General features: G+C 46.5%; 1 protein-coding gene, 1 long non-coding RNA gene and 1 other non-coding gene across 8 annotated transcripts in view, besides 2 other annotated features; 1 reads left to right on the top strand and 2 right to left on the bottom strand.

Annotated features, from left to right (window-relative positions):
- Positions 1-1,340: 1,340 nt before the first annotated feature.
- TAF12-DT (TAF12 divergent transcript) lies at positions 1,341-6,886 on the bottom strand. Of its 2 annotated transcripts, none has more exons than NR_146730.1 (2): positions 6,379-6,886; positions 1,341-1,949 (listed from the first exon to the last, which is right to left on the bottom strand). It is a non-coding gene; the product is annotated as a TAF12 divergent transcript (long non-coding RNA). The 2 variants fall into 2 exon arrangements; NR_146731.1 differs by having other exon boundaries at positions 1,612-1,945; positions 6,625-6,886.
- Positions 1,408-1,542, bottom strand: RNU11 (RNA, U11 small nuclear). The gene has a single exon (NR_004407.1). It is a non-coding gene; the product is annotated as an RNA, U11 small nuclear (small nuclear RNA).
- Positions 1,873-23,220, top strand: part of TAF12 (TATA-box binding protein associated factor 12) — a 45,420-nt gene continuing 24,072 nt past the window's right edge. For 2 of the 5 annotated variants that reach the window (NM_005644.4, NM_001410769.1), the window contains exon 1: positions 7,075-7,150. Coding sequence is in view for 1 of the 5 variants with exons in the window: in XM_017002186.2 (XP_016857675.2) it covers positions 1,908-1,937 (30 nt within the window). In the remaining 4 variants the exon portion in view is untranslated. Of the gene's footprint in view, positions 1,938-7,074; positions 7,488-23,220 lie in introns of those variants that run through there. The other 3 variants (XM_017002186.2, XM_024449368.2, NM_001135218.2) reach the window with 3 other exon arrangements.
- Positions 4,524-5,023: an enhancer, noted in NCBI's record as "H3K4me1 hESC enhancer chr1:28971631-28972130 (GRCh37/hg19 assembly coordinates)". NCBI's record gives its function as "activates a minimal SCP1, AML or CMV promoter by ChIP-STARR-seq in naive H9 embryonic stem cells {active_cell/tissue: H9 hESC(naive)}" and the evidence as "EXISTENCE:reporter gene assay evidence [ECO:0000049][PMID:30033119]".
- Positions 5,231-5,525: a silencer, noted in NCBI's record as "tiled region #12118; HepG2 Repressive non-DNase unmatched - State 3:PromF, and K562 Repressive DNase matched - State 5:Enh". NCBI's record gives its function as "represses a minimal TATA promoter and a strong SV40 promoter by Sharpr-MPRA in HepG2 and K562 cells {active_cell/tissue: HepG2 | K562}" and the evidence as "EXISTENCE:reporter gene assay evidence [ECO:0000049][PMID:27701403]".

The following is a 23,220-nucleotide window of genomic DNA, read 5'->3' as shown; positions in this document are numbered from 1 at the left end:
ACTCTGTTGCCCAGGCTGGAGTGCAGTAGCACGATCTCGGCTCACAGCAACACCGCCTCCCGGTGCAAGCAATTCTCCTGCCTCAGCCTCCCAAGTAGCTGGGATTACAAGCGCCTGACACCAGGCCTGGCTAATTTTTGTATTTTTAGGAGCGACGGGGTTTCACCATGTTGGCTAGGCTGGTCTCCAACCCCTGACCTCAGGTGATCCGCCCACCTCGGCCTCCCAAAGTGCTGGGATTACAGGCGTGAGCCACCGCACGCGGCCGGGTTTTTCATTTTAATTTTAAAATTAATGTTAACATTTTAAAATTTGATGAGGACCAATTTATTTTTTGTTGCTTGTAAACCATTGTTTATATCCAAGAAATCACTGACAAATTCGATGTCATTTTCCCCTGTGTTTTCTCTAAGAGTTTTATAGTTTAAGGTCTTACATTTAGGTCTTTAATCTTTTTTTTTTTTTTTTTTTTGAGACGGAGTTTTGCTCTTGTTGCCCAGGCTGGAGTGCAATGGTGCGGTCTCGGCTCACTGCAACCTCCGCCTCCTGGGTTCAAGCAATTCTCCTGCCTCAGCCTCCTGAGTAACTGGGATTACAGGCATACTCCACCACGCCTGGCTAATTTTGTATTTTTAGTTAGAGAAGGGGTTTCTCCATGTTGGTCAGGCTGGTCTTGAAATCCCGACTTCAGGTGATCCGCCCACCTCGGCCTCTAGGAGTGCTGGGATTACAGGCGTGAGCCACTGCGCCCGGCCTTGAATTAATCTTTTGTGTATGGTATAAGGTATAGAAAAAGTTTGCTAAGGCCTGGTGAAGGTAATTTCAATTTCCTCTGCTTCATAAAATAACATTGCAGGCCGGGCGCGATGGCCACGCCTGTAATCCTAGCACTCCTAGAGGCCGAGGTGGGCGGATCACCAGATGAAGAGATGGAGACCATCCTGGCCAACATGGTGAACCCGTCTCTACCAAAAATGCAAAAATTAGCTGGGCGCGGAGGCGCACGCCTGTAGTCCCAGCCATTCGGGGGGCTGAGGCAGGTCTCCTAAAGTCAGGGACTAGGTCTATTCCATTTGCTGCTATACTGTAACACAGTTGCCAAATAATTTCCTCATACGCGCGCCACCACGCACGTATAATTTTTAAATTCTTTTGTTGGTGGGGCCTTCCTGCTTTGTTGCTTAAGCTAGCCTCCCACACGAGAACACGCAGGGTTATCCCACTTCCACTTCTTAAGTGCTAGGATACAGGTCTGAATTACCTTGCTAATTAGGTCACCTGCGGTTCATACAAATAACTATGCAGCCTCTAAAAAAAAAAAAAAACACACACAGAATCTCTTTTCAGTTACAAAAAGCACCACTTACTCCAAACGCGTAATATTTCGCCTAACATATAACAGTAAAGAAAGGGCGCCGGGACCAACGATCACCAGCTGCCCAAATACCAAAAAATTATGCTTCCGAAATCTCTTGATGTCGATTCCGCACGCAGAGCAATCGAGTTGCCCTACGTGTGCCACTCACGACAGAAGCCCTTTTTGCTTTCTCTGTCACCAAAGCAGGGTGGCAGTGTTACCAAATCCATTTTTTGGTAAAGGTGAACACAAAATCCAAGCAACTCTTTATTTCAACTTCCTGAAGTTGAAGAGCGAATTCCATTTCTTCTGAACTGAAAGGAAGACTTCACAAGGAGAATCTGGAATTTGTCCTTTCGATTTTTTAGTTAGAAGAAAAAAATGTAGTGAGTTGATATGCAAATATACTCAGGGCTTGCTGGGAATGTGCTGGCGGGCACCGAGGGAGTGGCGGGGAAGAGCGGCTGCGCGAGCGAGGGAGGAACCGCTCCTTCCGGTTGCAGTAAGTGCTGGGTCTTTCTTGTCAACTGCTCACGACAGAAGGCGTCTCATGGCGTTGGAATACCGGCTCTCAGCGGCTGTAGGTATCTGACTGGGGAAGACAAGAATCACAACCTATCCAAATTGAAAATGTGTAACTTGTGCCACCCCTAGCCACCACCTTGGAGCAGCCCAGGCAGGCGTGCAGTGGAAGCACAAGGTCACAAGGTCACGCATAAGCTGATTGTCATGGTGTGTTCATATTGTGGCATGCTATATGCTGCACTTCGAAGGAGTATTAGAATTTTTTTTTTTTAAATCGAGTGAAAAGAGTTGTAGAATAAGGTACAGCATAGCATTAATGTGAAAAATGAAATACTGTACCTCAGATGACTGAAGTAGATCTTTATCAACACAATTTTTTTTTTTTTGAGACGGAGTCTCGCTCTGTCGCCCAGGCTGCAGTGCAGTGGCGCGATATCGGCTCACCGCAAGCTCCACCTCCTGGGTTCACGCCATTCTCCTGCCTCAGCCTCCCAAGTAGCTAGGACTACAGGCCCCTGCCACCATGCCCGGCTAATTTTTTGTATTTTTAGTAGAGACGGGGGTTTCACCATGTTAGCCAGGATGGTCTCGATCTCCTGACTTTGTGATCCGCCCGCCTCAGCCTCCCAGAGTGCTGGGATTATAGGCGTGAGCCACCGTGCCCGGCCTGTTCCCATTTTTTTTATGGATAATGATGGACGGGTGCTGTGGGTCATGCCTGTAATCCCAACACTTTGAGAGCCCAGGAGTTTGAGACCACAATGGGCAACATATAGAGACCTCGTCCCTACCCCAAAATAAAATATTAACTGGGCATCGTGGCATGGGCCTGTGGTCCCAGCTACCCCAAAGGCTGAGGCAGAAGGATTGCTTGAGCCAGGGAAGTCAAGGCTACAGTGAGCCATAATCATGCCACTGCACTCCAGCCTAGGTGACAGATGAAGATCTTGTCTCAAGAAAATAAAAAAAAAACAATATGTGACAATTGTAAAGAAATTGAAACAGCACAGAGATGTTATAAAATGTGAAAATGCTTCCTCCAAACTGTGAACAGTTTAGTGTTTATCTTGCCAGACTGCTTTCTATGTATGTACACATCGTATATATATAAAAATAAATGTTTTCAGGCCAGGCATGGTGGCTCATGCCTGTAATCCCAGCACTTTGGGAAGCTGAGGTGGGTGGATCACCTAAGATCAGGAGTTTGAGACCAGCCTGGCCAACATGGTGAAACCCTGTCTCTATTAAAAATACAAAAAATTGGCCGGGTGCGGTGGCTCACGCCTGTAATCCCAGCACTTTGAGAGGCCGAGGTGGGCAGATCACTAGGTCAGAAGATCGAGACCATCCTGGCTAACACGGTGAAACCCCGTCTCTACTAAAAATACAAAAAATTAGCCGGGTGTGGTGGCGGGTGCCTGTAGTCCCAGCTACTCGGGAGGCTGAGGCAGGAGAATGGCGTGAACCCAGGAGGTGGAGCTTGCGGTGAGCCGAGATTGCACCACTGCACTCCAGCCTGGGCGACAGAGTGAGACTCTGTCTCAAAAAAAAAAAAAAAAAAAATTGGCCGAGTGTGGTGGCAGGTGCCTGTAATCCTAGCTACTAGGGAGCTGAGGCAGGAGAATCACTTGAACCTGGGAGGCAGAGGTTGCAGCGAGCCGAGACTGTGCCATTGCACTCCAGCTTGGGCAACAAGAGCGAACTCCGTCTCAAAAAAAAATAAATAAATAATAAAGTAAAATGTTTTCAACACAAAATATAGACTGTTAGGTATTTTACTTTCTTTAATATATTTTAATAATACATGGAGTTCCCTGCTCTTTACAAAGTAGAAGTCACAAGAGAAAGGAGATAAATAAACAGCTCTTACATTGTAATAGGAAGCAGATGTGTTGTATAAACTTGTGAGAAGCCCAGAGATGGTGCTGTCAATTGCTCTTCCTATCATCCACCAGTGTTATCTCTCTCTCTGTCTTTTTTCCTGAGACAGTGTGTTGCTCTGTTGTCCAGGCTGGAATGCAGTGGTGCAATCATAGCTCACTGCAGCCTGGAACTCCTAGGCTCAAGCAGATCCTCCTGCCTGTCAGTCTCCTGAGTGGCTGGGACTACAGGTACACACCACCATGCTGAGGCTAATTTTTTTTTTTTTTTTTTAGAGACAGTGTCTCCCTATCTTGCCCAGGCCGGTCAAACTCCTGGGCTCAAGCAGTCCTCCTGCTGCGCCTCCCAAAGTGTTGGGATTACAGGTGTAAAGCCACCACATCTGACCTTATCTCTCTTTTTTTTTTTTTTCCCAGACAGTCTCACTCTGTTGCCCAGGTTGGAGTGCAGTGGCACGATCTCGGCTCGCTTCAACCTCTACCACCCAGGTTTAAGCGATTCTCATGCCTCAGCCTCCTGAGTAGCTTGGGACTACAGGCACGCGCCACTACACCCGGCTAATTTTTAAAATATTTTTAGTAGGTTTCACCCTGTTGGCCAGGCTGGTCTCAAACTCCTAACCTCAAGTGATCCACCTGCCTCGGCCTCCCAAAATGCTGGGATTACAGGCGTGAGCCACAGTGCCTGGCCTGGCCTTATCTGTTTTTTTGTTGTTGTTGTAGTTTTGTTTGAGATGGAGTCTTGCTCCCGTCACGCAGGCTGGAGTGCACTGGCTCAATCTCCGCTCACTGCAACCTCCACCTCCCGGGTTCCAGCGATTCTCCTTCCGCAGCCTCCTGAGTAGCTGGGGTCACAGGCGTGCACCACCACGCCCAGCTAATTTTTGTATTTTTAGTAGAGATAGGGTTTCACTATTTTGGCCAGGATGATCTCTATCTCCTGACCTCGTGATCCTCCTGCCTCAGCCTCCCAAAGTGCTGGGATTACAGGCGTGAGCCAGGGTGTCCAGTCCTTATCTCTTAAAGAAAAAAAAAAAAAAGAAGAGGCCGGGCGCAGTGGCTCCTGCCTGTAATCCCAGCATTTTGGGAGGCCAAGGCAGGCGGATCACGAGGTCAGGAGATCGAGACCATCCTGGCTAACATGGTGAAACCCCATCTCTACTAAAAATACAAAAAATTAGCCGGGCGCGGTGGCGGGCGCCTGTAGTCCCAGCTACTTGGGAGGCTGAGGCAGGAGAATGGCATGAACCTGGGAGGCGGAACTTGCAGTGAGCCGAGATAGCTCCACTGCAGTCCGGCCTGGGTGAAACAGCGAGACTCCGTCTCAAAAAAAAAAAAAAGAAAATTCATCTACTTGGGAAGCTGAGGTGGAGGAGGATCGCTTGAACACAGGAGTTTGAGGCTGTAGTGAACTATGATTGTGCCACTGCACTCTAGCCCTGGTGACAGAGTGAGACCCTGTATCATTTAACAATCGCCATAATTTCACCGTTCTTCCAACACCTTCCCATTGCATACTGAATATAATCTCAAGTCCCCATCATAGTCTAGGCTAAAAGGTCCAGACTATAACAAACCCCTGCCTACCTCTCCAAACTCATTGTCTTTCCCGGTTACCAAAGCTCCAGCCACCTTGGCCATCTTGGTCCTTGAGTAAGTGTTTTCCTTACTGAAGACCATGGCTCAGGCCATCAGCCAGCTAGATAAGTCTGGCTTATTCCAGTATTCTCTTCTATCACCCTTTTGTGCAGTTGCTAATGGTCTGTTTCCCACTCTAGGTTGCAAACTTTCTAAGGACAGAGATCATCCGTCTTAGCCACCAGTTATGTACTCAGCACATAGCAAAAGGCTTGTCACACAATGAGACTCAAACACTTGTCAAATGAACGTATATACATTCAACCTGGGTCTTAAAAAAGATGTATAGGCATTCAACAACAAAAAGTGGTATGCCGGACCCTAAAAAGAATGGAGAGCAGTGGCAAGGAAATAAGGCTAGGAATACAGCTTAGAGCCCAATGTTCATGAGGACTTGAATCTGAGAATTTGGATTGGGTGGCAGTGTAGAGGGTGGACTGGGAACGTGGTAGGATGAGGATTAGGAAGATATAAAGACAGGGCAGGATGCCGCACCAATCTGGGCACCTCTTCCTAATTTCTATGTGGCTCACTCTGGCCTGTCACAGCTCTTTATACAATTTTTGGTGTGTTTGTGGGTTCTTCTCCATCTTACTGTGAACCTTACAGATGCTGGAATTGGGTCTTACTTGCATGCCTAACATTCCAGCATACAGTAAAAAATAACAGCTGTTCTCTTTTTTTTTTTTTTGAGACAGAGTCTCGCTCTGTCGCCCAGGCTGGAGTGCAGTGGCGCGATCTCGGCTCACTGCAACCTCCGCCCCTCCAGGTTTAAGCAGTTCTCTGCGTCAGCCTCCGGAGTAGCTGCGATTACAGGCGCATGCCACCACGCCCGGCTAATTTTTTGTATTTTTAGTAGAGACGGGGTTTCACCATCTTGGCCAGACTGGTCTTGAACTCTTGACCTCGTGATCCACCCTCCTCGGCCTCCCAAAGTGCTGGGATTACAGGCGTGAGCCACATAACAGCAGTTCTCACCAAGCATCTGACAGCCGAAAAACTGAAAGCATTAGAGAATGCTACAGGACAGGCTTTGGCTTAGTAGTGAGTTCTGAGTTCAAGCTGAGGCTCTGCACTTATTAGCTAGAACTTTGCTTAATCTCTCACAGGTCTCCTCTAAATGATTAAATGGCGTAACGGAGGTAAGCGGATTAGCACAATTCCCGGCAAACAGTAAGCACTCAATTGTTACTACTGAATTGCCAGTTCACAGGCACAACCAACCGATCTCTCTCATCTCCTGGTTCCTCTGTTGCCAACTTCCTCGTTGAGGTCCAACAGGATACCTGTGGGGTAATGTGTCCCAGATGATATCCCAGTCCTGACACCAAGACAAAGGCACCAACCAAAAATGGCGACCTCAAAGCCATCCGAGGGCGTCAATTACCCGTCATGCTACCGATAGATAAATAAGCAGCGTCGGGAAGAAAAGCTAGTGAAGGATTCTTAACGCCGGGTTGGAATACGCAGAGCTCGCTCATGCTGCCACTCAACCACAAGCAGTTAAAAGCGCAAGCTGCAGGGTGTACCTACACACAGCTCAATATCGCCACCACGTGTCGGAGGGCAGTCTGCGCCTGCGCAAGCGAGGCGCGCGCCCGCCGGCCGGAAGAGCCGCGCGTTTCCGGGTTGGAGGCGGGGAGCGGTGCCGGAAGTAGTCGGGGAGGGCCGCGCAGTCGGACCGGCTGCTGAGACGAACGCTTCACTGGGGCAGTCTCTGCATATCATGGGGAGATAGACGCTGCTGCCTGTGAGTCTTGGGCCCTGGCAGTTGAGGAACAAGAGCGGGAGGAGGGAGTCAGGACCCAGACCTACAGTGGGTCAGTGTTCGAAGGACCAGGTTGTGGACGAGACGGGGCTGTGAGGATTCAGGCTCTTGGGAAGGGACTGACTGAGAGGATCAGGCTCGGAGAAGACGCGGCTGTGGGGACCCGGGCTCTAAGACGGGACTTAGGGAACGGGGACGGATGCGAGTTCTCCGGCATCTGAGGGAAAGTGGTCTGAGAGGAGCAGGATTATGAGGACCCGCACTCCTACGAGGAAAGGGTCAGAAAGGAACGGGGCGTGAAGACACAGGCTCCGGAGAGGTAAAAGTGGAGCGGTGAGGACTTGGGCTCCTAAGAGGCAGAAGCGGGACAGTGAAGACCCGGGCTCCTAAGGATTCAGAAACGGGGCAGCGAAGACTTAGGTTCCTGAGGGGCAGAAGCAGACAGAGAAAACTTGAGTTTGGAAGGGAACAGAAGCGGGCAGTGAAGACTGGGGCTTCTTTGGGGACGGGATCCGGGCTTTGAGACTCCGAGTTCCTGAGTCTCGGAACAGGGCTGTGAGTACCCAAGCTCCTAAAAGCCTTGGATCTAAGGGACCATGGATATGAGATCAGCCTACAAAGTAAAGGGAAAGGGTTTGGAAAAGATTTAGTGATCCATTTTTTCACAGTATTCCCTGAACCCAGAGAGATAAAGGACGTATTCAGGGGAAGACAACTTCTCCTTCGCACTGCCTACTTGGCTCTTGGCAAGCTTTTCTTGTGTCAGATACTCAATCTAGGAAGCCCATATGCAAACATCTTCATTTTCTGCTTCATTCTTGGGAATCAGATGTGAAGTTGAAAACAGTTGGAACTCAGTTATGTACTTGATAAGTGCTTTAAATCCCATTCCACTCAACCCTGAATGAGCACAGATCTCTGCATCTCAAATAAAAGAATGTCAGTGATGGAAGAGTCCCAAAAGATCATCTTTTAAAAACTCCTATTTTACATTTAAGAAGGCTAAGGTTCAAAGAGGCTTAGGATTACAGTGAGGCAATGGTTAGTTAGATCATAATTTTAATACAGTACCCTTCTGTGCGTAGCAAATGAGATGCTTGGTTAATGTTCCTTAAATGCTTCTAGAATCTTTGCTTTATCTTCAAACTCAGGAGGGAATTTTTTTTTTTTTTTTTTTTTTGAGACAGGTTCTCTCTCTGTCGCCCAGTCTGAAGTGCAGCGGCTCAGTCTTGGCCCCGTGCACCTCCAACCTCCTAGGCTCAAGCAGTCTTCCCACCTATACCTCCTGAGTAGCTGGAACTACGGGCGTGTGCCACCACGCCCTGCTAATTTTTAAATTTTTTGTAGAAACAGGGTCTCACTATATTGCCCAGGCTGGTCTCAAACTCCTAAGCTCAAGTGATCCTCCCACCTTGGCCTCCCAAAGTGCTGGGATTACAGGCATGAGTCACCTCACCCCCCTTGCAGTTTTTGTTTTTGTTTTGTTTTGTTTTGTTTTTTTGAGACAGAGTCACCCAGGCTGGAGTGCAGTGGCACGATCTCGGCTCACTGCAATCTCTGCTTCCCCAGTTCAAACGATTCTCCTGCCTCAGCCTCTCAAGTAGCTGGAATTACAGGTGTGTGCCACAATGCCCGGCTACTTTTTGTATTTTTAGTAGAGACAGGTTTTTGCCATGTTGGCCAGGCTGTGTTTCGAACTCCTGATCTCAAGTGATCCGCCCGCCTCAGCCTCCCGAAGTGCTGGGATTATAGAAATGAGCCACTGCGCCCGGCCCAGTTTTTATTTCCAGTAAAAACTGGAAATTTTTACAGTTTCTGATAATTTGAGTGTTGTTACTGTATTGACATTAATACAGTAAATGTCACTTAATAGTAAGGAAACCTTTATTTTTATTTTTGTGTTTTTGAGACAGGGTCCTGTTCTGTTGCCCATATTGGAGTGCAGTGGCATAATCATAGTTCACTGCAACCTATATTCTTGGGCTCAAGCACTCCTCCTGCCTCAGCCTCCTGGGACTGCAGGTATGAGCCACTACACCCAGCTAATTTTTAAGTTTTTTTGTAGAGACAGTGTTTGGCTGTGTTGCCTAGGCTGCTGTTGAATTCTTGGCCTCAAATGATTCTCCCGCCTTGGCCTCCCAAAATGTTCTTATAGGCATGAGCCACTGCACCTGGCTGGAACCTTTAAATAAAGCTCAGTGTTATTTATTTATTTAATAAGCTGTTTGGAAAGTCATAAATAAGTGTGTCCTGTATTTTTAGTGCAAACATTTACTAGGGATGGCTGCTTTTGGATAAGGATGGTGGGGAGACTTGCACCAGTCACTTCCTTCAATATTAATATCTTTTTCTGAAACCTACTCAGACTAACGAGGCACAGCTTATGCACTATCGAGTATTCTATGATTTAATTATCACAGCCCCACAAGTTAGATATTGTCAGTCCCGTTGTACAGATAATGAAATAGGTTTAGAGAGGTTACTTTGCCTGAAATCACACAGTGACCCAACCCCAGTTACATGTGCCTCTAAAACTTTTTTCTACTCTTCTAAGTGGATTCCTCTCAGTTTGTCCATCAGCAAAATAGAAGTAATCGTTATACAAAACATATAATTGAATGAAAGCATCTCCTCCTTCTTAAGGCTCCTCTAAATGTCAAGGACTATAACATATTAGGGTACTTATGTATTGTGGCATTTGAGAACTAAATTCTGTTTTCACAGAAGCATAGATTATTCAAGATAGAAAAACGGGAACTTTGTAGAGCTTTTCCTTGCAATGTAGAAAGACATTTAATTTTAGATTTAGGAGGCCAAGAAAGACTAATTTGGACTGGGCATGATGGCTCACACCTGTAATCCCAGCACTTTGGGAGGCCAAGGCGGGCGGGTCACCTGAGATCAGGAGTTCGAGACCCGCCTGGCCAACATGGCAAAACCCCGTCTCTACTAAACATACAAAAATTAGCTGGGCATGGTGGCACATGCCTGTAGTCCCAGCTACTCTGGAGGCTGAGGTGGGAGAGAATCACTTGAATCCTGGAGGTGGAGGTTCAATGAGCCGAGATTGTGTCACTGTACTCCAGCCTGGACAACAGAATGAGACTCTGTCTGAAAAAAAAAAAAAGTAATTTGAAAAACAAGGGCTTAAATTTGATTGATTTTCCAGTTAATTATATCATGAACTAGATGTTTGGGGGAATTGGGCTTAGTTAAAACTACTATTTTTTCCCCAGGGTTAGCCTGTACTATTTGCAAGCGCCTATTATATATAAATGATCAAAACTAACTTATACCAACTTATAAGGGAAAGCATACCGATGCCCATGTCACCACTTCAAAGTACTTGATGGTTTAATTAATGATAATTTATTCCTGAGTTAACATCCTTACCTATACTTGCAAAATGTACTTCATTTCATTTGTGGCTCTAGCGTTGACTTATTATAATAGGACTTCAAAATACCCGATCAGAAAATCATTGCATTATAATTAGAGCCGATAGGAACAAAGGACAAAAGGACATATTACCTTTTTTTTTTTTTTTGTGAGACGGAGTTTCGCTCTTTCACTCTTGTTACCCAGGCTGGAGAGCAGTGGTGCAATCTTGGCTCACTCCAACTTTCACCTCCCGGGTTCAAGCGATTCTCCTGCCTCAGCCTCCCATGTAGCTGGGATTACAGGCATGCGCCACCATGCCTGGCTAATTTTTGTATTTTTAGTAGAGACGGGTTTCACCATGTTGGCCAGGCTTGTCTCGAACTCCTGACCTCAGATGATCTGCCTGCCTCGGCCTCCCAGAAGGTGGGAGGTGGAAGTTGCAGTGAGCCGAGATCACACCACTGCACTCCAGCCTGGGCAATAGAGCAAGATTCTGTCTTAAAAAATTAAAATAGGCCAGCCGGGCGTGGTGGCTCACGCCGGTAATCCCAGCACTTTGGGAGGCCGAGGTGGGCGGATCACGAGGTCAGGAGATCGAGACCACGGTGAAACCCCGTCTCTACTAACAATACAAAAAAAATTAGCTGGGCACGGGCGCCTATAGTCGCAGCTACTTGGGAGGCTGAGGCAGGAGAATGGCGTGAACCCGGGAGGTGGAGCTTGCAGTGAGCAGAGATTGTGCCACTGCACTGCAGCCCGGGTGACAGAGCAAGGCTCTGTCTCAAAAAAAAAAAAAAAAAAAAAATAGGCCAGGTGAGGTGGCTCATGCCTGTAATCCTAGCACTTTGGGAGGCTGATGTGGGCAGATCACCTGAGGTCAGGAGTTCGAGACCAGCCTGGCCAACATGGTAAAACCCCGTCTCTACTAAAAATATAAAAATCAGCTGGACATAGTGGCGTGTGCTTATAATCCCGGCTACCTGGGAGGCTAAGGCAGGACAATCGCTGGAACCCGGGAGGCAGAGGCTGCAGTGAGCCGATATTGCGCCACTCCAGCCTGGGTGACAGAGTGAGACTCTGTCTCAAAAAAAAAAAAAAAAATTAGGCCGGGCGCGGTGGCTTATGCCTGTAATCCCAGCACTTTGGGAGGCCGAGGTGGGCGGATCACCTGAGGTTGGGAGTTCGAGACCAGCCTGACCAACATGGAGAAACCCCATCTCTACTAAAAATACAAAATTAGCTGGGCGTGGTGATGCATGCCTGTAATCACAGCTACTCGGGAGGCTGAGGCAGGAGAATCCTTTGAACCTGAGAGGCGGAGGTTGTGGTGAACTGAGATTGCCCCTTTGCACTCCAGCCTGGGTGACAAGAGTGAGACTCTGTCTCAAAAAATAAAATAAAATAAAATAAAATAAAATACAAAAATTAGCTGGATGTGGTGGCAGACGCCTGTAATCCCAGCTACTCAGGAGGCTGAGGCAGGAGAATCACTTGAACCCAGGAGGCAGAGGTTGCAGTGAGCCGAGATTGTGCCACTGCACTCCAGCCTGAGCGACAGAGCGAGACTCCATCTCCAAAAAAATAATAATAATAATTAAACAAAAAATAGGAATGGGGTCTCACTGCATTACCCAGGCTGGTCTTAAACTCCTATCAGCAAGTGATCCTCCTACATCTGCCTCCCGAAGTGCTGGGATTGTAGGCATGAACCATGACACCTGGCGAAGACATACTACTTTTGGTTGGGATTCTTTATGGAAAGCCCTAAAATATTTTGTAGGCACTATATCAGCAATGTTTACAGGCTGCACTGTGAAACAGGTGTGTTGGAGGCAGACAGACTTTGAAATTTCTGTGTATGGACTTAATTTAAGTCAGACAGGGAGGGTAAAGAGAGCAAAAATAAAAAAAAGAAAATCTTTTTTCTGGAGACGGAGTCTTGCTCTGTCGCCCAGGCTGGAGTGCAGTGGTGTGATCTCGGCTCACTGCAACCTCCGCCTCACGGGTTCAAGCACTTCTCCTACCTCAGCCTCCCGAGTAGCTGGGACTATAAGCGCGCGCCACAATGCCCGGCTATTTTTTGTATTTTTAGTAGAGACAGGGTTTCACCATATTGGTCAGGCTGGTCTTGAACTCCTGACCTCGTGATCCGCCTGCCTCGGCCTCCCAAAGTTCTAGGATTACAGGCGTGAGCCACTGTACCTGGCCTTTACACTGATTTTTAATGCTGAAAGGGACTTTAGAATTTGCCTGGTCTGGCCAGAGGCGGAGGTTGCAGTGAACCAAGATCGTGCCACTGCGCTCGAGCCTGGGTGACAGAGCAAAACTCTGTCTCAAAAAAGAGAAAAAGAAAAAAAGAATTTGCCTGGGCCAACTCCTAATTACAGATGTGGAAACTGACCAAAGATGGCATCCAGCCCTCTTGATTTGGGTTTTCCACAGTAACTCTCATCAGCCTCCTGCTGACCACTTGTTACCATTTTTTTCCAATCCACCATTCTTCTGTTAATCTCTGAAGTCATACAGAACACTTATATGGTGCCAGCACACATGGATATGTGTGTTGGGTTAGCAGCAGGATGAGTGAAATGAAACACTGGTATTTTTTGAGAGATGGGGTCTTGCTTTATTTTCCAGGCTGGAGCATGGTGGCTAGCCACAGGCCTATCACAATGTACTACAGCCTCGCACTCCTAGGCTCAAGCCATTCCGTCACCTCAGACCCCATAGTAGCTGGGATTATACATGTGCTCCACTGCATTGAGCAGTATGTTGATTTTTTTTTTTTCCCTGAGACAGGGTCTTGCTTTGTCACCCACGTTGGAGTGCAGTGGTGCCATCACATCTCACTACTGTATCAACCTCCTGGGCTCAAGTGATCCTCCCGCCTTAACCTCCCAAGTAGCTGGGACCACAGCTGCATGCCACCACGCCTGGCAAATTTTTTGATTTTTTTTTTTTTATTTGTAGTGACCAGATCTCACTATGTTGCCCAGGCTGGTCTCAAACTCCTAGGTTCAAGTGATCCTCCCGCTCAGCCTGCCAAACTGCTAGAATTATAGGTGTGAGCCACCAAGCCCACCCTGTACTTCATTATTAACTTAATTTTTTCAGATGAGAAAATTGAGGCATAAAGAGATTATGTAGCTTGCTCAATACAGCTGAAAAGTGGCACAGTTGGTACTTAAACCCAGATACTGCTACCATGGTTCATATCCTTGACCACTGTACTATACACTATACTACCTTTTGTTGTTGTTAGAGACAGGATCTTTTTGTGTTGCCCAGGCTGGTCTCCAACTCCTAACCTCAAACAGTCCTCCCATGTTGTCCTCCCAAAGTTCTGGGATTACAGACGTGGGGTCCCACATGTGGCCTATACTGCCTTTTTGATAAGTCAAAAGCAGCTGGAGCCTCAACTAACCAATCCTAATTGCACACTGGAAAAAAATCTTGCATTTCTATTGCTCTCGAGTCTCACAGACTGCAAATAATTGATCCTTTTTAGCTTATTTAGGCTGGGAAATATGAGCTCATTTAGATACATTTAGAAGCCAGAGAGGAAAGAAACAGCCAGGTAGAAAAACCAGTCATTAAGTGAAGTCATGCACCACAGTATAGGGCTTTTATGCCATCAGGCCAGTCCTCTTGATTCCAGTATTTTGCTTAAATAATAAATTACTAAACATTTCAGAGGTAAAAAAAGGTTTTGAAGGCTACCTTTTCTTCTGTTCCCCTTTCTCTTCACCTTTGTTTTGTTTTTTTAAAAAAAAAAAAACAGTTAATGGAATAGATGCACAGAGAATACCAGGGTCTTACAACTATTGCCAAGGTCTCCTTAATTCCTACCCTATGAAAAATTAGACCCTCTCAATACAATAATAGGGTTGCAGCTAGACTTCTGTTTGAAGTACAAGGTTGTTAAAGGGAAGCAATTAGGGCTTGTCATCCTCAGCCAGTCAACCACAGTTTAAAAGGAGGGAGGATAGGCCGGGTGCAGTGGCTCATGCCTGTAATCCCAGCACTTTGGGAGGCCGAGGTGGGCAGATCATGAGTTCAGGAGATTGAGACCATCCTGGCTAACACGGTGAAACCCCATGTCTACTAAAAATACAAAAAATTAGCCGGGTGTGGTGGCAGGCGCCTGTAGACCCAGCTACTCAGGAGGCTGAGACAGGAGAATGGTGTGAGCCCAGGAGGTGGAGCTGGCAGTGAGCCAAGATTGCGCCACTGCACTGTAGCCTGGGCGACACTGCACTGTAGCCTGGGCGACACAGTGAGACTCCATCTCAAAAAAAAAAAAAAAAAAAAAAAAAGGAGGGAGGATAGATGTGGTTTTTTTTATTTATTTATTTATTTATTTGAGACGGAGTCTTGCTCTGTCGCCCAGGCTGGAGTGCAGTGGCGCGATCTCGGCTCACTGCAAGCTCCACCTCCCGGGTTCGCGCTATTCTCCTGCTTCAGCCTCCGGAGTAGCTGGGACTACAGGCACCCGCCACCATGCCTGTCTAATTTTTTGTATTTTTTTTTTTAGTAGAGGTGAGGTTTCACCCTGTTAGCCAGGATGGTCTCGATCCTGACCTCGTGATCCGCCTGCCTCGGCCTCCCAAAGTGCTGGGATTACAGGCATGAGCCACCATGCCTGGCCTACTTATTTATTTTTTAGATGGAGTTTTGCTCTTGTTGCCCAGGCTGGAGTGCAATGGCGTGATCTCGGCTCACTGCAACCTCCACCTCCCGGGTTCAAACAATTCTCCTGCCTCAGCTTCCCGAGTAGCTGGGATTACAGGAATACCCCACCATGCCCGGCTAATTTTGTATTTTTAGTAGAAATGGGTTTTCTGCATGTTGGTCGGGCTGGTCTCAAACTTCCGACCTCAGGTGATCTGCCCACCTCGGCCTCCCAAAGTGTTGGGATTACAGGCGTGAGCCACTGCACCTTGCCTAGATGGGTTTATTTAAATTGAACTCTAACCCATACAATCGTGTTTTGATAGAATTACTAAATATTTTCAACAACCAATCACTGGGGGGTGGACTTTCCATATTTACTTTGTGACTCATAGCACACAATTTCTACATAGTAGGTAATAGTAAGGGTTAATTATTATTGTTCTCTCAAACTGTCCCACAGTTAATGCCTGTTTTTTGTGGGGTTTTTTTTTTTTTTTTTTTTTGAGATGGAGTCTCGCTCTGTCGCCCAAGCTGGAGTGCAGTGGTGTGATCTCGGCCTACTGCAACCCCTGCCTCCCGAGTTCAAGCTATTGTCCTGCCTCAGCCTCCTAAATAGCTGAGATTACAGGCAAGCGCCACCACGCCTGGCTAATTTTTTTGTATTTTTAGTAGAGACGGAGTTTCACCATGTTGGTCAGGATGGTCTCGAACTCCTGACCTTGTGATCCACCTGCTTCAGCCTCCCAAAGTGTGGAGATTACAGGCGTGAGCCACTGTGCCCGGCCAGTTAATGCCTGTTTTTGTTTTTGATTTTTATTTATTTTTTATTTATTTGTTTGAGACAGTCTCACTCTGTCATCCAGGCTGGGTTGCAGTGGCGCAATCTCGGCTAACTGCAACCTCCACCTCCTGGGTTCAAGTGATTCTCCTGCCTCAGCCTCCCGAATAGCTGGGATTACAGGCACGCGCCACCACACCTGGCTAATTTTTTTTTTTTTTTTTTTTTGAGATGGAGTTTCGCTTTCATTGCCCAGGCTGGAGTGCGATGGCACAATCTCGGCTCACCGGAACCTCCGCCTCCCGGATTCTAGCGATTCTCCTGCCTCAGCCTCCCGAATAGCTGGGATTACAGGCATGCACCACCATGCCCAGCTAATTTTTGTATTTTTAGTAGAGACGGGGTTTCACCATGTTGGTCAGGCTGGTTTAGAACTCCCAGCCTTAGATGATCTGCCCACCTCGGCCTCCCAAAGTGCTGGGATTACAGGTGTGAGCCAACATACCCGGCTAATTTTTGTATTTTTAGTAGAGACGGGGTTTCACCGTGTTAGCCAAACTGGTCTTGAACTCCTGACCTCAAGTGATCTGCCCGCCTCAGCCTCCCAAAGTGCTGGGATTACAGGCATGAGCCACTGCACCTGGCCCTGTTTTACTTTTTAAAATTTATTTTCGGTTGGATACAGTGTCTCATGCCTGTAATCCCAGCACTTTGGGAGGCTGAGGCGGGTGGATCACCTGAGGTCGGGAATTCAAGACCAGCCTGGCCAACATGACGAAATGCCATCTCTACTAAAAAATGCAAAAATTAGCCCAGCATGGTGGCACGTGCCTGTAATCCCAGCTACTCTGGAGGCTGAGGCAGTAGAATCGCTTGAACCCGGGAGGCAGAGGTTACAGTGAGCCAAGATTGGGCTCCTGTACTCTGGCCTGGGCAACAGAGTGAGATTCTGTCTCAAAAAAAAAAAAAAAAAAAAGTAGGCCGGGCTTGGAGGTGCATGCCCTGTAATCCCAGCACTTTGGGAGGCCGAGGCAGGTGGATCACCTGAGGTCAGGAGTTCGCGACCAGTCTAACATGGTGAAACCCCGTCTGTACTAAATAAAAAAAAAAATAGCTGGGCATGGTGGTGTATACCTGTAATCCGAGCTACTTGGGAGGCTGAGACAGGAGAATTGCTTGTACCTGGCAGGCGGAGGTTGCAGTGAGCTGAAATCGTTCTATTGCACTCCAGCTTGGGCAACAAAGCGGAACTCCACCAAAAAAATACATATTTTTTAAAATTTATATACAATAAAATTATTATGGGGTACAGTCATAACTCATAGAATATGACAAATATATACTGTCATGTAAGCACTACAACACTCAAGATACAGAACAATTTCACCCCCCACCTCCACAGATTTAATCATGCTGCTCCTTTGTAGTCAAACGCTCCTCTGCCCCAGACTCCTTAACAACCACTGATCTGTTTTCCATCCCTATAACTTTTTTTTTCCAGAGTGGCCTATAAATGGAATTATACAGCCATTTGAGCCTTGCCTTTTTCACTTAGTATGATACATTTGAGATTCATCTGTGTTGTTGCATGCGTCAGTAGTCTTTTTTTTGTTGTTGTTATTGTTGAGACAGAGTCTTACTCTGCTGCCCAGGCTGGAGTGCAATGGTGCGATCTCTGCACACTGCAACCTCCGCCTCCCGGGTTGAAGCAATTCTCTTACCTCAGCCTCCCGAGTAGATGCAATGGCGTAATCTTGGCTCACTGCAACCTCCGCCTCCCAGGTTCAAGCGATTCTCCTGCCTCAGCCTCCCGAGTAGCTGGGATTACAGGCACATGCCACCATGCCAGGCTAATTTTTGTATTTTTAGTAGAGAGCGTTTCACCATGTTGGCCAGGCTGGTCTCAAACTCCTGACCTCAGGTGATCCACCTGCCTTGGCCTCCCAAATTGCTGGGATTGCAGATGTGAGCCACTGTACCTGGCCTTTCCTTTCTATTTCTGAGTATTCCATTGAATGGATATACCATAATTTGTTTATTCACCATTTGAAGGACATGTGGATTGTTTTCGGTTTTTGGTAGTTGTGAATGATGTTGCTATAAATATTTATGAACAGATTTTTGTGTGAATGTAAGTTTTCATTTCTCTACAGTAAGTACCTAGGAGTGGGATTGCTGAGTCATATAAGCATACATTTAACTTTAGAAGAAACTACCAAACTGTCTTCAAGAAAAACTATACCATTTTACATTCACACCAGCAATGTATGAGGGTTTCAGTTCCTTTGTATCCTCTCCAGCACTTGTTTTTGTTTTTAAATTTTAGCTATTTTATATAGGTATATCATGTTTTTTAAAATTTGCATTTTCCTGGTGACAAATGATATTGAGCATCTTTTCATGTGCCTATTTGCCATTTGTTTATCTTTGATGAAGGGTCTGCTCAGATCTTTTGCCCTTTAAAATAAATAAATAAAGAGCCAGGGTCTCATTATGTTACCTAGCCTTGTCTCAAACTCCTTAGCTTAAGCAGTCCTCCTGCCTTGGCCTCCCAAAGTACTGGGATTACATGCATGAGCCATCATGCCCAGTCTGCCCATTTTCTTTTTTTTTGGAGAGAAGGAGTCTTGTTCTGTTGCCCAGGCTGGAGTACAGTGGTGCAATCTCAGCTCACTGTAACCTCCGCCTCCCAGGTTTCGGTGATTCTCCTGCCTCAGCTTCCCAAGTAGCTAGGACTATAGGTGTGTGCCAACACACCCAGCTAGTTTTTGTATTTTTTAGTAGAGACGGGGCTTCACTATATGTTGGCCAGGCTGGTCTCAAACTCCTGACCTCAGGTGATCTGCCTGCCTCGGCCTCCCAAAGGGCTGGGATTACAGGCGTGAGCCACCATGCCTGGCCGAGTCTGCCCATTTTCTAAATTGGGTTGTTATTTTCTTATTGTTGAATTTTGAAAAAAAAAATTTTTTCCTCCCCCACAAGCCTTTGCACTGAAATTTCTTTATATGTGCTGGATACAAGTCATTTGTTGGATATGTGATTTATACATATTTTCTCCTAATCTATGACATATCTTTTTTTTTTTTTTTTTTTTTGGAGACGGAGTCTCACTCTATCACCCAGGATGGAGTGCAGTGGCACGGTCTCAGCTCACTGCAACCTCCGCCTCCCGGGTTCAAGTACTTCTCTGCCTCAGCCTCCCGAGTAGCTGGGATTATAGGCACCCACCACTATGCCCTGCTAATTTTTTTGTGTTTTTAGTAGAGACAGGGTTTCACCATCTTGGCCAGGTTGGTCTGGAACTCCTGACCTTGTGATCTGCCCACGTCGGCCTCCCAAAGTTCTGGGATTACAGGTGTGAGCCACCACGCCTGGCCCAACTTATCTTCTTATTGTCTTTTGCAGAGCAGAAGTTTTACATTTTGATTAAGTCCACTTTATCAATTCTTTTCTTTTGTGGATTGTGCTTTTGATATTGTATCTAAGAACTCTGACTAACCCGAAGTCATGAAGGTTTTCTCCTGTTTTCTTCAAGAAGTTGTATATTTTTACATTAGGTATATGATCAGTTTTGAATTTTTTTTTTTTTGAGACAGCGTCTCACTCTGTCACCTAGGCTGGAGTGCAGTGGCGTGATCTCAGCTCACTGCAACCTCCGCCTCCCGGGTTCAAGCGATTCTCCTGCCTCAGCCTCGAGTAGCTTAGATTACAGGCGCACGCCACCACGCCCAGCTAATTTTTATATTTTTAGTAGAGACGGGTTTCACCATGTTGGTCAGGCTGGTCTCGAACTCCTGACCTCATGATCTGCCCGCCTCGGCCTCCAAAGTGCTGAAATTACAGGCGTGAGCCACTGTACCTGGCCCTGAACTTATTTTTGTATAAATGTGAGATAGGCTGGGCATGGAGGCTTGTGCCTATAATCCCAGCACTTTGGGAGGCTGAGGCAGGAGGATCGCTTGAGCCCAAGAGTTTGAGAGCAGCCTGGGCAACATGGTGAGACTTTCTCTCTACAAAAAATAAAAAATATAAAATGAGCTGGGCATGGTGGTGCATGCCTGTAGTTCCAGCTTCTGAGGAAGCTGAGGTGGGAGGATAGCTTGAGTCCAGCTGGTTGAGGCTGTAGTGAGCTCTGATTGCACCACTGCACTCCAGCCTGGGCCACAAAGTAAGACCCATCTCTAAAAAATAAACAGGTTAGAGTTGGGTGCGGTGCCTTGCACATATAACCCCAGCTATTTGGGAAGCTGAGGGGAGAAGACTGATAGAGGCAAAGAGTTCAGGGCCATCCTGGGCAACATAGCAAGACACCGTGTTTTAAAAAAAAATAGAAAAATTAGCCAGGTGTGGTTTGCACTTGTAGCCCCAGCTACTCAAGAGGCTGATGCAAGATTATTGCTTGAGCCTAGGATTTTGGGGGTGCAGTGAGCTGTGATTTCACCACTGCACTCCAGCCTGGGCAACAGCAAGACCTATCTCTGCAAACAAACAAACAAAAAACCCAAGGCCTGTTGCAGTGGCTCACGCCTGTAATCCCAGCACTATGGGAGGCCGAGGTGGGTGGATCACTTGAGGTTGGAAGTTCGAGACCAGCCTGGCCAACATGGGAAAACTCCATCTCTACTAATAATACAAAAAAATTAGCCAGGCGTGGTAGTACGTGCCTGTAATCCCAGATGCTCAGGCTGAGGCAGGAAAATTGCTTGAACCCGGGAGGCCAAGGTTGCAGTGAGCCAAAATCATGGCCACTGTATTCCAGCCTGGGTGACAGAGTGAGACTGTGTCTCAGAAACAAAAAACAGGAAGAAAAGGGTGAGTATGATCTATTTCTGCAGAGAAAAAAATTCAAATAGTAGTTTATCTTAATTTTTTCCATAGGTAACATATGCACATAATACAGGATTTAGGGTGTACAGTGAAAAATAAGACGTTCTTGGTCCCATAGGCCACCCAGATACCACCATTCCCCCACCTCCCTCTGTTATCAGTTTCTTATGTATCTTGCCAGGAATAATTTATGAATTTACAACTGTATGTCTGTGTATGTGTGTTTTATTCATTTATTTATTTGAGACGGAGTCTTGCTCTGTCACCCCAGCTAGAGTGCAGTGGTGCAATCTTGGCTCATTGCAACCTCTGCCTCTCCATGCAAGCGATTCTCCTGCCTCAGCCTCCCAAATAGCTGGGATTACAGGCGCCCGCCAACGCGCCTGGTTAATTTTGTATTACTAGTAGAGAGGGGGTTTCTCCATGTTGGTCAGGCTGGTCTCGAACTCCCAACCTCAGGTGATCCGCCTGCCTTGGCCTCCCAAAGTGCCGGGATTGTAGGCATGAACCACCGCATCCGGCAATACATGTGTTTCAATAAACAATAACAAAATATTCTCCCATTCTATGTTTTGCTTTCATTCATTGAACAATTTCTCTTGGAGACCATTTCGTGAGCCTCCTCATTTTTTTTTTTTAAAGTCTTTATTTAAATCATTCACATTTCACACAAATCACTGATTTAAAGTGTATAATTCTGTGGGTTTTTTTTTTAATATAATCAGGGTTGGCAACCATCACCACAATGTAATTTTAGATCATTTTTGTATCCCGTAAAAGAAACCGTATACCCATTAGCAGCCAGTCTCTATTCCTCTCCTACATGCCCTGGCCATAGGCAACAACTAATCTACTTTCTGTCTATGGGTTTGCCTATTCTGGACATTTCATATAAATGTAATCGTACAATATGTGTTTTTTTTGTGACCAGCTTTTTAGGGTTTTTTTTGAGACAGAGTCTTGCTCTGTCACCCAGGCTGGAGTGCAGTGGCGCAATCTCGGCTCACTGCAACCTCCACCTCCTGGGTTCAAGCCATTCTCATGCCTTGGCCTCCCAAGGGATTACAGGCGCCCCCCCCCCCCCCACCCCCTGCACCGTGTCTGGCTAATTTTTGCATTTTTTTAGTAGAGATGGGGTTTCACCATATTGACCAGGCTGGTCTCGAGCTCAGGTTTTCCTTTCTGTCGGATAAATATCTAGTAGTACAGTGTTTTTCCTGGGAAGCTGGAGGGGTGTTTGAGTTATTGTTCTTAGTTGTAGTATAATTTACATACAGTAAAATTCACAGATCTTGAATGCTCAATGGGAGGAGTTCGACAGTTGTATAAGCCTATGTATTACCACCCATCAAATGTGTTACAGTTTTAAAATCTTGCCATATCAAGAAATAGTTTAGAACCTAAGGGTAGTGTTAGTCTGGCACCAGGGGGTGTCTGGTTATCATCTGCTTTTGTTTCGTTTAGTTTTTATAGGAAGAAATCGTTTGCTTAGTCAGAATTATTTAAAATTCAGAAGTATTGTTTGCTTTTCAGCAAGGTCAGTGACAGCAGTAAATTTTTGTCGAGTTTCTTAGGGAGAAACTGATTTTTCCCCTTCTCCAGAGGTTCCACTTACTTCTTTTTTAGTTTTTTTTTTTTTTTTTTTTTTGAGGGAGTGCAGTGGCGCGATCTCGGCTCACTGCAAGCTCCGCCTCCTGGGTTCACGCCATTCTCCTGTCTCAGCCTCCCGAGTAGCTGGGACTGCAGGTGCCCGCCACCACGCCCAGCTAATTTTTTGTATTTTTAGTAGAGACAGGGTTTCACCGTGTTAGCCAGGATGGTCTCGATCTCCTGACCTTGTGATCCGCCCGCCTCAGCCTCCCAAAGTGCTGGGATTACAAGCGTGAGCCACCGCGCCCGGCCTCTTTTTTTTTTTTTTTTTTCTTTGAGACGGAGTCTCACTCTGTTACCCAGGCTGGAGTGCAGTGGCCTTATCTCAGCTCACTGCAACCTCTGTCTCCCAGGTTCAAGTGATTCTTGTGTGTCAGCCTCCTGAGTAGCTCGGATTACAGGCGTGTGCCACCACGCCCGGCTAATTTTTATATTTTTAGTAGAGATGGGGGTTTCACCATGTTGGCCAGGCTGGTCTCGAACCCCTGACCTCAAGTGATCCACACACATTGGCCTCCCACAGTGCTGGGATTACCGGCGTGAGCCACTGCACCCAGCCTCCACTTATTTCATTAAAGTGACTGCTGTTGGAGCTATTCCTTAAGGTTATTTGCTAATTTCATCCAACTTCACTGGAAACAACAAAAAAAGAAAAAAAAATCCTAATTTGATATGTGAATATTCATATTTGGTACTATGTAGATAGGCCATACTTTTTGTCTCCAGATCTTTAAAAAAAAAA

Source organism: Homo sapiens, chromosome 1 (genome assembly GCF_000001405.40).
Source record: "Homo sapiens chromosome 1, GRCh38.p14 Primary Assembly".
Classification (NCBI taxonomy): Eukaryota; Metazoa; Chordata; class Mammalia; order Primates; family Hominidae; genus Homo; species Homo sapiens.
Note: the sequence above shows the minus strand (reverse complement) of the source record. Positions and strands in the feature narration are given on the sequence as shown.